Below are 16,690 nucleotides of genomic sequence, written 5' to 3' on the forward strand. Positions count from 1 at the left end.
TTGCCTAACCCAGGGTCACAATATTTTTTTCAGTTGAAAAGAGTTTTTTCTTAATTTTTTGTATTGTTAATTTTTATGGATACATAGTAGGTGTATATATTTATGGGGTACATGAGATATCTTGATGCAGGTATACAATGTGTAATAATCACATCAGGGTAAATGGGGTATCCATCACCTCCAGCATTTATTATTTCTTTGTTTTATGAATGTTCCAATTATACTCTTTTGGTTATTTTTAAATGCACAATAAATTATTCTTGACCGTAGTCACCCTGTTGTGCTATCATATACTAGATCACATTCATTCTATCTACCTATATTTTTGTACCCATTAACCACCCCACTTCCCCCAACCACTACCCTTCTCAGCCTCTGGTAACCATCATTCTATTCTCTATCTTCATGAGTTCAATTGTTTTAATTTTTAGCTCCCACAAGTAACTGAGGACATGTGAACTTTGTTTTTTCTATGCCTGGCTTATTTCACTTAACATCATGTCCTACATTTCCTTCCATGTTACTGAAGGTAACAGGATCTCATTTTTATGGCTGAATGTATTTCATTGCATGTATGCATCACATTTTCTTTATCCATTTATCTGTTGATGAACATTAGGTTGATTCCAAATCTTGGCTATTGTGAATAGCGCTACAATAAATATGGAAGTGCAGGCATCTCTCTGATAGTCTGATTTCCTTTCTCTTGAGTATATACCTAGCAGTGGGATTGCTGTAACATATGGTAGTTCTATTGTTAGGTTTTTGAGGAACGTCCATACTGTTCTCCATAGTGGATGTACTAATTTACATTCCCACCAACAGTGTGCAGGGGTTTCCTTTTCTTCCCATTCTCACCAGCATTTGTTATTGCCTGTCTTCTGGATAAAAATCATTGTATCTGGAATGAGAAGACATCTCATTGTCGTTTTCATTTGCATTTCTCTGACGATCAAGATACTGAGCATCTTCTTTTACTTGTTTGCCATTTTTATGTCTTTTTTGAGAAATATCTATTCAGATATTTTGCTCATTTTTGAATCAGATTATTAGATTTTTTTCTACTAAGTTGTTGGGGCTTCTTATATAGTCTGATTATTAATCCTTCGTCAGATGAATAGTTCCCAAATATTTTCTCCCATTCTGTGAGTTTTCTTTTCACTGTGTTGATTGTTTCCTTTGTTGTGTGGAAGCGTTTTAACTTGATGTGATCCCATTTGTCCACTTTTGCTTTGGTTGACTGTGCTTGTTGACTATTACTCAATAAATCTTCGTTCAGACCAATGTCCTGGAGAGCTTCCCCAAAGTTTTCTTTTAATAGTTTCATAGATTCAGGTCTTAGATTTAAGTCTTTAATCCATTTTTATTTGATTTTTATATATGGTGAGAGATGGGGGTCTAGTTTCATTATTCTGCATATAAATATCCAGTTTCCCAGCACATTTATTCAAGAAAATGTCCTTTTCCTAATGCATGTGCTTGGCACCTTTGTAAAAATTGAGTTCACTGTAAATGTGTGAATTACTTCTGGGTTCTCTACTCTATTCCATTGGTCTGTGTGTCTATTTCTGTGCCAGTACCATGTTATTTTGCTTTCTATCGCTCTGTAGAATAATTTGAAGCCAGATAATGTGATTCCTCCAGTTTTGGTCTTTTGCTTAGGCTAGCTATGGCTATTCTGGGTCTTTTGTGGTTCCATATAAATTTTAGGATGTTTTTTCTATTTCTGTGAAAAATGTCATTGATATTTTGGTAGGATTGCATTGGATCTGTAGGTTGCTTTGGGTAGTATGGACATTTAAAAAATATTGATACTTCCAATTCATAAACATGGAATATCTTTCCATTTTTGTGTGTGTCCTCTTCAATTTCTTGCATCATAGTTTTTTTTGCATTATAGTTTTCACTGTAGAGATCTTTCACTTCTTTGGTTAAGTTTATACCTAGGTATTTAATTTTATTTGTAGCTATTATAAGTGGGATTACTTTCTTGATTTTTCACATGGTTCACTGAACACAGAAATGCTGCTGATTTTTGTATGCTGATTTTGTATCCTGTAACTTTAATCAATTTATCAGTTCTAATAGCTTTTTGGTGGAGATGTTGTTTTTTCAAATATAAGATCATATAATCTGCAAAACTAGGATAATTTTACTTTCTTTCCAATTTAGATGCCCTTTATTTCTTTCTCTTGTCTGATTGCTCTAGCTAAGACTTTCATCACTATGTTTAATAACAGTGGTTAAAGTGAGCATCCTTGTCTTGTTCTAGATCTTAGCAGAAAGGCTTTCAGGTTTTCACCAATCATGATACTGTTTCTGTCATATGTGGCTTTAATTATGTTGAGATATGTTCTTTGTATACTCTGTTGAGTTTTTATTGTGAATGAATGTTAAATTTTATCAAATGTTTCCTCAGCATCAGTTAAAATTATATTTTTGTCATTTATTCTGTTGATATGATGTGTCATATCAATTGATTTGCATATGGTGAACCATCCTTGCATCCCAGGGATAAATCTCACTTTGTCACGATGGATGATGTTTTAATGTGTTGTTGAATTCAGTTTACTAGTGTTTTGTTGAGAATTTTTGCATCAATGTTCATCAGAGATATTGGTCTGTAGTTTTCTTTTCTAGATGTGTCTTTGCCTTTAGTATTGGAGTAATACTGGCTTCCTAGAATGACTTTGGAAGTATTCTCTTCTTTATTTCTCAGAATAGTTTCAGTAGGGCTGTTCTTAGTTCTTTAAGTGCACAGTAAAATTCAGCAGTGAAGCCGTCAAGCCCCAGGCTTTTCTTTGCTGGAAAACTTTTTATTAAGGCTTCTATTTTATCACTTATTGGTTTATTCAGGTTTTGGGTTTCTTCATGGTTCAATCTTGGTACACTGTATGTGTCTAGGAATTTATCCTTTCTTCAGAGTTTTCCAATTTGTTAGCATGTAGTTGCTCACAGTACAAAGTTTTTGTCCTGTGATTTCTTCTTGAAGTTTTATAGGTTTTACATTTAGATATAAACTCAACCATTTTGAGTTGTTTTTCTAGGTGGTGTTACATGTGGGTGAAAGTGGTGTGTGTGAACGTGTGTGTGTTCCATATAGATATCCAATTATTCAGGCACAGTTTGTTGAGAAAACTAACTTTTCCTCACAGAATTGCCTTTGAAACTTTCTCAAAAATCATTTGTTCATATATGTGTGAGTATGCGTTTCTTAATTCTGTTTGCTAAACATCCATGTTTAGTTGTAATCTAGAATTGTATGAATAAAACTTAAGAAAAGTGCAAAATGAGAATAATGGCAGTAATCCAGCATGTTAGATAAGAGATTACTTTGATATAATCACAGAAGATTTCTCAAGGAAAGTGGATGTTGTGAAATGAATTGTTTTCCCTGCCCTTCAAATTCATATGTTGAAGACCTAACCCCCAATATGATGCTATTCAGAGATAAAAATCTGTAGGGATGTAATTAAGTTTAAATAAGGTCATAATGGTAGGACTCTAATCCAATAGGATTGGTGCCCCTATAAGAAGAGGAAAACACCAGAGAGCTCTCTCTCCACATGTGCACAGCAGAAAGGTTACATGGGGTTGTGGCCACAAAAAGGTGGCTATCTGCAAGCAAAGAAGAGAGCTCTTACCAGAAACTAATCCTGATGGTACCTTGATCTTGGACTTCACGTATCCTAAATAAATTTGTGTTGTGTAAGTTATCCAGATTGCGGTATTTTATTATGGCACCCCAAACCAACTAACACCGTGGGACTAACACAAGTTCCTCTTGAGGAACTTGACACTGAAAAACTTGAGTCTCTATTGAATGTGTTTGTGGACCCTTAGTTCCACTAATTGGAGCACTGTAATAAAAAGAAAAAAAGTCTCAAACTAGTTGCTTTTGATTATTATAGCTTTGTCATTTCATACATCTGACAGCATTTAATTGATCCAGGTCAGCCCTCCATGAATAAAACAGGGAGACAGTTTGCTTTCTAGAGAAACTTTCAACCTAATTATCACAAATACATTATTATTACTGGATCAATTGGGCATTGCTTAATGAAAGCCAGTTAGTAGAACTACCTTTGTTATCAAACAAAATAATTTTTGAGATTGTGGCATCAAAAGAGGTAGGAAGATTGACTTGGAGGTGATATATCTGGAACAAATGATTTCACATTAATATTGTGAAAATGGAACAATACTAGTCTCTTTAAAAACAAGAGTATCGGCCGGGTGTGGTGGCTCACGCCTGTAATCCCAGCACTTTGGGAGGCCGAGGCGGGCGGATCACGAGGTCAGGAGATCGAGACCATCCCGGCTAAAATGGTGAAACCCCGTCTCTACTAAAAATACAAAAAATTAGCCGGGCGTAGTGGCGGGCGCCTGTAGTCCCAGCTACTTGGGAGGCTGAGGCAGGAGAATGGCGTGAACCCGGGAGGCGGAGCTTGCAGTGAGCCGAGATCCCGCCACTGCACTCCAGCCTGGGCGACAGAGCGAGACTCCGTCTCAAAAAAAAAAAAAAAACAAGAGTATCTAAGGTTGTTGAGAGCTTTTAACATAAAAAGAATAACCAGTACACAAATAATTTCAAATTAAAGTAGACTATCATAAATACTATAAGAATGACCCACTGGTAGACTATCATAAATACTATAAATATGACCCACTGGTGAGCAAAATTAAACTTATCTTTGGGGATGTGGAAATAATTATTAAAAGGGATGGATGGAATTTGACCTGGTCTTGAGAAATAGCACTTGAGCAAGCAGATGTAGCAGAGGAAGCATCATAGCTAAGGGAGACAGCATGGGCTAAGGAGGAAAACAACTAAGCAAGTGCTGATCCTGAGGAGACTGGTGGTTTAAGAACTGAGATTTTAGGGAGCAAAAGAAGTAGTCAAGAGAAAACACTGCAAAGCTTTTCAGAGTTACAGGCAAATTTTGTATTAGTAATACATTTTCTGAAGCATTATGGGATCATAATAACTCCTTTCTCCCAAATTCGAAGACAGATTTTCAATAAAGCTCTCTATTTATCTTGATTATTTGACATTCCTTCGTATGTATTTATATGCAAAGTGTACACTACCCACCTGGAGCTGAAAAAGCTCCTACACTCCAGGAGTTCAGCTTTAATGACAGAAGGTAGACAAAGGAAACAATTACAATTCAGCGTACTATTTAGTAGTGGCAAATCTACCTTCATGTAACACTGGTCCAACAGGAAGTCATCTGTTAAATCCATTTGTGTCCAAATAATGCACCAAACTAAAAGAATGCCAATTTCTTTTACCAAGTCAGAGCTATTCTAAGCGGAGTTCAGTTTTATGAGATAACAGCATGGGTTCTGGACAAGGCTGGTTTCTTCGGCAAAGGCTCAGAAGTGGGCCTTGGTTAACTAAGCTTTGGGCACAGTCTTGAAATTATTAGTGATTTCCTTTTTGAATTTGAGTTTTGTAAGTGAAGTCTAGTGGGATAATGGAACATGTGCCAAGGCCTTGTTGTCTCAGGTCATGTGTGGTCCTGTCCCCAAAAGCTCCTCAGGTGGATTCTCTGGTTTCCTGCTCTCCTGTCTCCACCCAGCAACTGCTGCCACCTTGCTCCAGTGTATACACTCCTACCTGAGTCTTGGGGCAGGGGTCTCAGGCACCTTTGAGGGTCTGCCCTGACAACCTAATGTCTCTGTGCTTTAGGGAGCATCGTATTAAATAGTAAATTAACAAACACCATGATGAGTCAAGAGACGCTATGGAAGAAACTTTTTTTTTTTTTTGAGACGAAGTTTCACTCTTGTTGCCCAGTCTGGAGTGATCTTGGCTCACGGCAACCTCCGCCTCCCAGGTTCAAGTGATTCTCCTGCCTCAGCCTCCCGAGTAGCTGGGATTACAAGCATGCGTCACCACGGTCGGCTAATTTTGTATTTTTAGTAGAGACGGGGTTTCTCCACGTTGGTCAGGCTGGTCTCGAACTCCCGACCTCAGGTGATCCGCCCGCCTAGGCTTCCTAAAGTACTGGGATTACAGGCATGAGCCACCACCCTCCGCCGGAAGAAACGTTTTTCCTGCATTTTGAATAAAGGGGCCTGGATTTTCATTTTGCACTGTACCCCAGGTATTATGTAGCTGGACTTGAAGTCCTGTAGCAGTGGACAGTCCCAGGCAAGTGACTCTGGGCGAGGCACTTGGTGCCTCTGAAGTCACTTTCCACATCTGTAAAATAATAGTTCAGAGCAGAGTAGGGTGGCTCACTCCTGTAGTCCTAGTTATTTGGAAGGCTGAGGTGAGAGGATGGCTTGAGCCCAAGAGTTTGAGGCTGCAGTGAGCTATGACTGTGCCACTGCACACCAGCCTGGATGACAAAGAGAGACTGGGTCTCTAACAAAATAATATTAATAAAAGGAAAATAATTTCTATCTTGTTGGATTTCTGTGGAGATTTGGAGCTAATTTATGTAAAGCTCTTGGACCACCATTTGACACATTTTAATGGTCAATACTAGAAGGTGTTGACAATTATATATTACCTAATTCAAACACACTCCCTTACGTCTCCTATGCTTGCCGGCTAATAAACAGCCATTCCCACAGGCAGTACCAAATGTGTATCCTGGTTTTGCTTCAAATGTTTATTCCCTAAATTTAAACCCTTCTATAGTGTGCAGGAAAAAAATGTCCGCACCTCAGCTATAATGTCAGGTTGTAACAAAAAACTGCGAGGATTTAAAAAGGTGTGCTTGTTAGAAAAGCAGAAATCTTCACAAATACTAGATTTAAAAAAATGGAAGCAAAAAATCGTTCATTCAAGTGATCATTTCAGAAGAGCTCTTTCACCGCCGTTCAGCGCCCCCCTAGCCATTAGAGAGAAAAACCAAGGCCGGTACAATGCGAGCGCAGTGTACCAAGGGAACACACACACACACACACACACACACACACACACACACACACACACACAAACCGAATCTTGAAAAACTAGACGTTGCCCAGCTACCAGCCCCCGTCTGGTTTCCATAGGAACGCGCAATTCCGTTGCGTAGCCCTCTGCGCCGGTAGTTGTTCTGTCTCAGTTCCGGTTTTCCCTTCCAAGCGTCAATGTTTCTTGTTCCCAGGCGGCAGCTAGAGCAGAAGGCGGATGAGTTTTGGACAGAAGAGGCTTCCGTTGAGGGGCGTGGCGACGCAGCCGCGGTCTGAGAGACCGGTTCACGTGCAGGCAGCGGCGGATCATATTCCTTCATCTACCATGGCTCAGCCGGGAACTCTGAACCTCAATAACGAGGTGAGCGCCGAGGAACCTATGGGGCTGACTTTAAGGGTCCTCAAAACCAGCTCTTTTGAGACGCGTGGTCGGAGGCGGGCATAGAGGGTGCGGTTGGAGGAACTTTCGTGGTGGGCCCAGGCGGGTTTCCCGCAACTTGGAGTTTGGCAACCGGTAATTTCCCTTTTCGGTCTCCAGGTGACTAAAGTGAGAGACATGTGTCAGGCCCCACGAATTTATGTCTGTGGGACTTTGGGAAGAACCTTTAGCCTGTACGTTCAATATTCTCGTCTGTAAAGCGGAACTCAAGATAGTTCGTCCCAGGGTTGTGAGATTAACTGAGATACGTAAAGTATTTGCAAGTGCCTGACCCTTAATAAACTTTCAGTACACATTACCTGCTCTTTATTGCCTGTCGAAAATGAAAGAGAGAAAGTAAGAGCTGTAGCTTCTAAGAAATTGGTGGTCTTGAATGAGACTGTATGCTCAGTACTTCGTTTCCTCTTCCAGTTAGTGTCCTATTTCTTTGCTTCCGTTTACAGCAGAACTTCAATAAAGAGCTGTTTATACTTGCTATCCTCAATTCTTTTTTCTGCTTTTTCAGTCCATTCTCATCAGACATTTGTTCTCACCACCGTCACTTCCATAGTGTGCGGTGTCGACAAAATACCATTTCTACCACTTATCCCCCTCTGGTTTCTGCTTCTATTCAACAAAATAATGTCATCCAAAGTCTTAAAGTAAGCTGGAAACATAAGGATCGAGTAAGGACCTCACAGTTAGATACAGAAAGGAAATTCTTTATCCCGTTTATGAGCAAGTCACTGTTTAGATTACACACAGTAGTGTAAGGGATATTTCATATTTTCTAGTAACCTATACTCAAGTAAGAGAGCTAAGCAACACTCACCTGTGTTACAGAACAATGTGTGAAGAATGCCTCCAAAACCTAGTAATGCAGAAAAGTTTCCAAAGGCGGCAAAATGAAATGGGTGATACTTGTCCTTGGTCTTTAGGGATCTTGCACAGGAATTGCAGTCAGTGATTCAGGAAAGGGGAAGAAGTCATTCCAGGCAGAGGGACTGGTATAAGCAGGAAAGGGCTAGTAGCAGAAGAACCCGTGGGTAATACAGGGATAAGTAACTCTTCACTGATGGGAACTTGTGAGATGAAGAAGGAAATAAAACTGAAATATATTCTCTGCTGCCAGATTAACGAGTCAGGATTTCAGTTGACAGTGGAGTACAGGATATGCTGAAGAGGGAAGCTGAAAGTAGTTACTATTTACTCATAAACATACATTAAGCTTGTGCTTTGTGCCAGAAAGCGTTTGGTGGGCTATTTTGCATTAGGTTACCTGTGATGTATGAAAGATCAGAGTAATGTCCCTGGGATTTCAACCCCAGGGAGCTTCATATCAAATTTTGTAATGACTTTGATGATGGAAATGACAGGGGATGAGTCATTAAAGACTCTTTTCACACTTAGCTAACTTTTGTTCTTCTTCAAAACAGTTAAAATTTGACCTTTAGGAAACCTTCATTAACTCCTCTCGGTCTGGGTTAGGTGTCTGTTCTTTGTGCACCCAGATTGCTTTCTCCTCTGGAAACACTTATGTAACTGTTTCTGTCTTCCTGTGTTTATGTGTCTATCATGTGTAGCACATATGTTTACTAGGTGATTACATGAATTTGTGAAAGCAGGAACTACACACATCCACCACTGAAGTCTAGTGTGTTCTAATGTGAAGGAGATAAAAAGGACAGAAAAAAGTGGAGATGATGGAGGATATTATAATTTAAAATTAGTGGGAAAAAAAACCCACAAAAGGAAAGAGAGATTTATCTACATAAAAATTGAATAACCTACCAAAGAAAAGAAATGACAACCAACTAGAAAAAAAAAATACAGCAGATATGACAAAGGGCTAATGCCCTTAATAGGAAATACCTCATAGAAATTAAAAGAAACCATCTCAGAAAATAGGCAGAAGAAATGAATTAACTTCTTCAAGGAGGAAATGTATCTGAAAAATAATTTGAATTCGCTTTCAATCTTTTCAATTCTTTTCCATCACCACTAGAATCCTAGTACAGCTACTGTACTAGCTTCCCAACTACTTACATTGACTCTTCTCAAACTTTAATCTTTTTTTTTTATATGTATACTTTAAGTTCTGGGGTACATGTGCAGAACGTGCAAGTTTGTTACATAGGTATACATGTGCCATGGTGGTTTACTGCACCCATTAACCTGTCGTCTACATTAGGTATTTCTCCTAATGCTATCCCTCCCCCTTTCCCCCCACCCGACAGGCCTTGGTGTGTGATGTTCCCTTCCCTGTGTCCATGTGTTCTCATTGTTCAACTCAAACTTATGAGTGAGAACATGCAGTGTTTGGTTTTCTGTTCTTGTGTTGCTTTGCAGAGAATGATGGTTTCCAGCATCATCCATGTCCCTGCAAAGGACATGAACTCATCATTTTTTATGGCTGCATAGTATTCCATGGTGTATATGTGCCGCATTTTCATTATCCAGTCTATCATTGATGGGCATTTGGGTTGGTTCAAAGTCTTTGCTGTTGTAAACAGTGCCACAATAAACATACATGTGCATGTGCCTTTGTAGTAGAATGATTTATAATCCTTAGGTATATAGCCAATAATGGGATTGCTGGGTCAAATGGTATTTCTATTGCTAGATCCTTGAGGAATCACCACACTGTCTTCCACTATGGTTGAACTAATTTACACTCCCACCAACAGTGTAAAAGCATTCCTGTTTCTTCACATCCTCTCCAGCATCTGTTGTTTCCTGACTTTTTAATGATCGCCATTCTAACTGGCATGAGATGGTATCTCATTGTGGTTTGGATTTGCATATCTCTAATGACCACTGGTGATGAGCATTTTTTCATATATTTGTTGGCTGCATAAATGACTTCTTTTGAGAAGTGTCTGTTCATGTCCTTCGCCCACTTTTTGATGGGGTTGTTTTTTTCTTGTAAATTTGTTTAAGTTCTTTGTAGATTTTGGATATTAACCCTTTGTCCGATGGATAGATTGCAAAAATTTTCTCCCATTCTGTAGGTTGCATGTTCACTCTGATGATAGTTGCTTTTGCTGTGAAGAAGCTCTTTAGTTTAATTAGATCCCATTTGTCATTTTTGGCTTTTGTTGCCATTGCTTTTGGTGTTTTAGTCATGTAGTCTTTGTCCATGCCTCAGTCCTGAATGGTATTGCCTAGGTTTTCTTCTAGGGTTTTTATGGTTTTAGGTCTGACGTTTAAGTCTTTAATCCATCTTGAGTTAATTTTTGTATAAGGTGTAAGGAAGGGGTCCAGTTTCAGTTTTCTGCATATGGCTACCCAGTTTTCCCAACACCATCTATTAAATAGGGAATCATTTCCCCATTGCTTGTTTTTGTCAGGTTTGTCAAAGATCAGATGTTTGTAGATGTGTGGTGTTGTTTCTGAGGCCTCTGTTCTGTTCCATTGGTCTATATATCTGTTTTGGTACCAGTACCATGCTGTTTTGGTTACTATAGCCTTGTATTATAGTTTGAAGTCAGGTAGCATGATGCCTCCAGCTTTGTCCCTTTTACTTAGGATTGTCTTGGCTATGCAGGCTCTTTTTTGATTCCATATGAACTTTAAAGTAGTTTTTTCCAATTCTGTGAAGAAAGTCAATGGTAGCTTGATGGGGATAGCTTTAAATCTATAAATTACTTTGGGCAGTATGGCTGTTTTCACGATATTGATTCTTCCTATCTATGAGCATGGAATGTTTTTCCATTTGTATGTGTCCTCTCTTATTTCCTTGAACAGTGGTTTGTAGTTCTTGAAGAGGTCCTTCACATCCCTGTAAGTTGTATTTCTAGGCATTTTATTCTCTTTGTGCAATTGTGAATCGGGAGTTCACTCATGATTTGGCTCTCTGTTTGTCTATTATTGGTGTATGGGAATGCTTGTGATTTTTGCACATTGATTTTGTATCCTGAGACTTTGCTGAAATTGCTTATCAGCTTAAGGAGATTTGGGGCTGAAACAATGGGGTTTTCTAGATATACAGTCATGTCTTCTGCAAATAGAGACAGTTTGACTTCCTCTCTTCCTATTTGAATACGCTTTATTTCTTTCTCTTGCCTGATTACCCCGGCCAGAACTTCCAATACTAAGTATGTTGTAAAGAGATTAAGATTAAAGTTTGTTGTTATTCTTGCGAAGTAAAGTAAAAATTTATCTTTACTCTTCTAAAAAATAAACCATCACTTTTTACTCTATCCTGATGATTATTTATTGCATATTTTTGGTACTTTGAAGAGAGAATTTTTGATTGCTTTTATAGCAGCTTCCCTAACCTCCAGCACAGTACCTTGTCTACAGGTAATAAGAAGTAGGTATATAATGGGCAGATGAAAGCATGGATAGCATAACTGTCAACTAATGTTCAAATGAGAGGGAAAATCTCCTAAATGCTTTTTTTCCTCCCTTTCCATTAGAACTAGAGGAGAAATGCACAATTGAAAACAACAGTGCCATAGCATTTAGTGCGTAAATAATTTGCAAAACTAGAGCTAGATTTTCTCAAGTCATCTGTTTTCTAAAATTTAGGCAGCAGTGATATGTAAAAATCAGATTTAGGAGGTGTAGCAATCTGATGGAGTGCTTTAATTTCATAGGAAGGCCAACGGCCTATATGTACAACTGACATTTTATTTTTTTTTATTTTTTATTTTTTATTTTTTTTTTTGAGACGGAGTCTCGCTCTGTCGCCCAGGCTGGAGTGCAGTGGCAGGATCTTGGCTCACTGAAAGCTCCACCTCCTGGGTTCACGCCATTCTTCTGCCTCAGCCTCCCGACTAGCTGGGACTACAGGCGTCCACCATCACGCCCAGCTAATTTTTTTTTTTTTTTTTTTTGTATTTTTAGTAGAGACAGGGTTTCACCGTGTTAGCCAGGATGGTCTCGATCTCCTGACCTCGTGATCCGCCTGCCTCAGCCTCCCAGAGTGCTGGGATTGCAGGCATGAGCCACCACGCCTGGCCTATTTTATTGTTTGATAGCAAATTACCATTAAGCCCATTAGAAAATTGCTTTTCATTTCATGTAAGACAGTAAAGGTAGAAACTAAAGTGCCAAAGAACAAAATGAGTTTCCTCCACATATTGTAAAACATAAGAATGTCAAGAACCACGTTTGTATGCGCTTATGAAGTTACAAAACGCTTGTGTCGTGATTAGGTGCATAGTACTTTTTAATAATTTTTTTCTGAAATATTAAATTAGGGCATTTCCGTAAGAACCAATTTGTGTTTAGTTATTAAACTATTCTGGGAAGTTTTGCTAGGTGGCAGCATATGCCCAATAATGGTTAAATCGTAGATAATCACTAAGCACTCTAGGTATTTTAAAAAATTGTTGCTCATCAGAAATAAAAAGTAAAATCAACAATAAGTTATCATCCATATGATAAAATTAGGGTCCTCTTCATACAAAAATAATTTTGGCCAGGTGCAGTGCCTCACTCTATAATCCCAGCACTTTGGGAGGCTGAGGCCGGCAGATCACTTGAGCTCACGAGTTTGAGACCAGCCTGGGCGACATGGTGAAACCCCGTCTCTACAAAAAATACAGAAAAATTAGCCAAACATGGTAGTACGTACCTGTAGTCCCAGCTACTTGGGAGGCTAAGGTGGGAAGATGGCTTGAGCCCGGGAGGGGGACGGAGGTTGTGATGAGTCGAGATCACACAACTACTCTCCTGCCTGGGCAATAGAGCCAGACCTTGTTTCGAACAAAGACAAGAAACCCAATAATTTTGTTAACTATGAATTACTTCAAACGTATGGAAAATAATGTAACAGATCTTCTTATAATCTACTTCCTATGTTTAGGAAATGTCAGTGTTTTGCTATATCTTAATATTTAATTCCACCCATCTTCTTTTCTACCTCAGAGGTAATTATTCCTCTTGGTGTGTGTTTTTCTCTTATATATTTTTCACAATTTTAGTAACATACGTATCTATACCCAGTGTATAGTATTGTGTTGTATACTTTTAAACTGCATATTGTTTTACAAATTATAAATTGTAGTAGTCTCCCTTTATCCATGGGGGTTATGTTCCAAGACCCCCAGTGTATGCTTAAAACCTCAGATAGTACCAAACTCTGTCATTATTATTATTATTATTATTATTATTATTATTATTTTCTGTACAGTAATGGGCAGGTAACGGATACAGCAGAAATACACTGGATGTATGATTTACATCCCATGTGGGATGGAGTAGTACAGTGAGAGATTTCATTATGCTACTCAGAGTGGTGCACAATTTAAAATTTATGAGTTATTTATATTTGGAATTTTGGCTAACCGCAGGTAACTGAAACTGCTGACAACAAAATTGTTGGTGGGGGGGACTACTGTATTTTATTCACCAAATGTTACTTTTCAGGTTTTATCCATGTAATACCTACAGATCTTTTGCATTGATTTAAAATACTACATTGCTATATGCTTTATTTATATACGTTATTTTCTCTCTCATGCTACATTTTGTTAAAATGATGCAATGAATAATCTTGTGTGTAGCCTTTTCCTATTGTTGAGAATGTGTCTTCTGAATAGATTCCTAGAAGTAGGACTTTTGTTAAAGTACAGCATGGTTTCCCCCAAAGGAGTAAATCAGTTTGCATTTCTACCAGCAGTGTATTTGTCTGTTTCCTCCAACTTCATACAAAGAATTTGTTGTCGTAGTTTTTTTGTATTTACTAATCTGATAGGTAATTAATGAATAAGCAGAAGTATTAGTATTCTTAGAAACACTTTCTTAACACTGCAAGTTCCCCTGGAACAATACTAGCTCCTAGAATAACTATTTTCTAATAACTATAGATTTTTGTTACAGGCTAACTCAAAAACATGGTAAAGTTGGTGAATTTTCAGAGGCTAACTGGTTGGCCAACTATCACATAGCCAGCCAAAAGTCAATTCAAGTAGCATTTAATTTTGTCTTTGGACCAAAGTCTCCTGTCTGCTTTGCATATCAGAAACTTGCCGTCATTGTCACCCCAGAAATAGAGCTCATTCTCTAAAAAGCAAATTCATGTTAAACCTAAATGTATAAGAGATTGTGTGAATGAGAAAGCTAGTTTATTAAAAAACGTGTCTAATATGCGTAATAAATGCTCACATTGTAAAACACATTCTTTTCCTGTATACTGACCATCAGCTGCTTGGTATGTAGAAATACAGAAAGGGGTTTTAGTTGCATGATTCATGTTGAGCTGTGATGCATCTGTTCCCATAATTGAGTTATTCCAGAACAGATTAGATTTCTCAAGTCTCTGAGCTGGGGAACCCTTTCTTTGGAATTTCCTTGAGCTGGACACTGCCAACTTTTGCCTCTCTGTGGTTTCCTTTCCTGTGTTTATGTTGACTCTTCTGAGTCATCTCACATGGTCTTTTCTCAAATAGCTATATTAGACTTCCACTTTATTTATAGTATTTTTATACTGTCTATGCAAGAGATGCCCTATGTTTAGATTTTGCCAGGTTAACTTTAAAGGCTTCTGTATGTCTAATTTCTAGGCGATACTTCACTGTCAGTACATATATATTCGCTGGGTATGTAAGTCTTAATTCTTTTTCTTCAGACCTTATAGATTGTCTTAAATGCATTCTCTTGCTGTTTGGAAGACCCTTGGCTTGGCTTAATCAGTCTTGTTGGTGATGGCCTCAGATTTTCCCTTCAATTTCTGTCTTCAGACCCCTTCCTTCTACTTGTCTTTCATTTTCTTTCTTCTGTGTCAGCATATTTTATTTACATTTCTATGCCTCTGTTTTCTCTGTGCTCACACTATTCCTCTGTTCTTTCCGTCCCAAACAATAATCATACTGTTTTTACAATTCTAACAATGATAGTTCTTGCTTTTGGTTAGAGTTTTGCCAAAATGTACTGCCATTAAGCAGTGCACTTGGACTTCTGGCAGTATTGGTGTGTTAGGCCTGTTCATTGACTTCTGGGTTGTCAGCCAACTTTACAATTCCTGGGTGACAAATAAATTGGCAGCCTTTTAAATCCTAACTTAAAGGCTATATTTGTCATCAGTTTTGCAAAAATCTAAGTGCTTGGGGAAACCTAAGTCTTAAGTATATGAGGTATTCCTTTTGCTTTTAGAATTCCCTTATCCATTCATGGCAAACATAGTATTTCTTAAATTGGAATTTTAAAATTGGAGACGAGCTTTGTTATGATTGGAATGTAACCAAGGACCAACTCTACCCACTGCAGTTTATTAGTTTAGTTAACAGTGGTTAGCAAATGGTATATTATCATCTCATGCACCTGCAAAGTTCAGCAATTAGAAACATTTGTTAATATATTTTAATGTGCAGTTCATCGCTTGCTATTAGTTTATTTTATGAATAACTTAACTTTAAAAAATGTATCATGACACTGTATAATTCTGTTTATGCAACGTGGCCGTTCTTTTTTTTTTTCCTTAAGCCTTGTCTGTGTGCCTTTTCATTTATGCAAAGTATGATTTTTTTTTCTAAATGGGTCTTTGAAACAAATTCCTAAGAGGTTAACTTATCTAGCAGGAAAGAAACCTGATTACTGTGCATTTTTAAAATATATTATGCATTTGAAACAGTGAATAGACAGTGTGTATTGCTACATTTCTGGTCATTTATTTAACCAATATTTATTGGACACATACTGTGTGCCATGCACTATGTTAGGTGTTAAGATGCAGTGTTGAATAAAACCAGATACTTGATCAACTTCACAGAATTTATAACCTACTGGGGAAAGACACATTAAAAATAATCAGATTAAAAGTAAAGTATTAAGTTACCAATTAAAGGTACTTGTGACCCTCTCAGGGAAGCCAGAAAAGACTTCACAGAAATGACAATTGGTCCAAAATCAGGATGAATAGATGTTAACAAGTTGACATGGGAAAAAAGAACATTCTGACCAGTGGAAATGGTAGGTGTAAAGGCTTTGTAGTAGACGTGAGCATGGTGAGGACAGGGGACTGAAAGGCCAATGTGATTCTTCTGAGAGCAATTGGACACCGTTAAAGAGAGTTACTTAAAGGTACGACATTGGATATATACTTTAAAAAATTTTATTGCGATGGCATTGTGGATAACTGATTGGAGAGAGGCAAGAAGAACAGGTGTGGAGAAACCGGTTAACAGTAACTCAGCCAAGATTGCAAAAAGGTCAAGATAGGGAAAAAAGTGGTACAATTTGAAAGATAATTAGGATTTAAGATTAATAGGACTTGGAGATTCATTGTGAAGGATTAAGAGAGCTACCTCTAAAGACCTTTAGGTGTATAACTAAAAGGATTGTTCCATTCTCTGAAATATGAAACCCCCCCTCCCCACAAAAGAAGGGAAGGGTTTTATTGGAGGTGAA

General features: G+C 38.1%; 1 protein-coding gene across 2 annotated transcripts in view, besides 2 other annotated features; it reads left to right on the forward strand.

Annotated features, from left to right (window-relative positions):
* Positions 6,836-7,374: an enhancer, noted in NCBI's record as "H3K27ac hESC enhancer chr5:121297323-121297861 (GRCh37/hg19 assembly coordinates)". NCBI's record gives its function as "activates a minimal SCP1, AML or CMV promoter by ChIP-STARR-seq in naive H9 embryonic stem cells {active_cell/tissue: H9 hESC(naive)}" and the evidence as "EXISTENCE:reporter gene assay evidence [ECO:0000049][PMID:30033119]".
* Positions 7,119-7,168: an enhancer, noted in NCBI's record as "active region_22993". NCBI's record gives its function as "activates an Ori minimal core promoter by ATAC-STARR-seq in GM12878 lymphoblastoid cells {active_cell/tissue: GM12878}" and the evidence as "EXISTENCE:reporter gene assay evidence [ECO:0000049][PMID:35858748]".
* SRFBP1 (serum response factor binding protein 1) overlaps positions 7,183-16,690 on the forward strand; it is a 116,961-nt gene continuing 107,453 nt past the window's right edge. For both annotated transcript variants that reach the window (XM_017009111.3, NM_152546.3), the window contains exon 1: positions 7,183-7,276. In XM_017009111.3, coding sequence (XP_016864600.2) covers positions 7,241-7,276 — 36 coding nt within the window. In that variant the 5' untranslated portion in view covers positions 7,183-7,240. The remainder of the gene's footprint in view (positions 7,277-16,690) is intronic.

Source organism: Homo sapiens, chromosome 5, assembly GCF_000001405.40.
Source record: "Homo sapiens chromosome 5, GRCh38.p14 Primary Assembly".
Classification (NCBI taxonomy): Eukaryota; Metazoa; Chordata; class Mammalia; order Primates; family Hominidae; genus Homo; species Homo sapiens.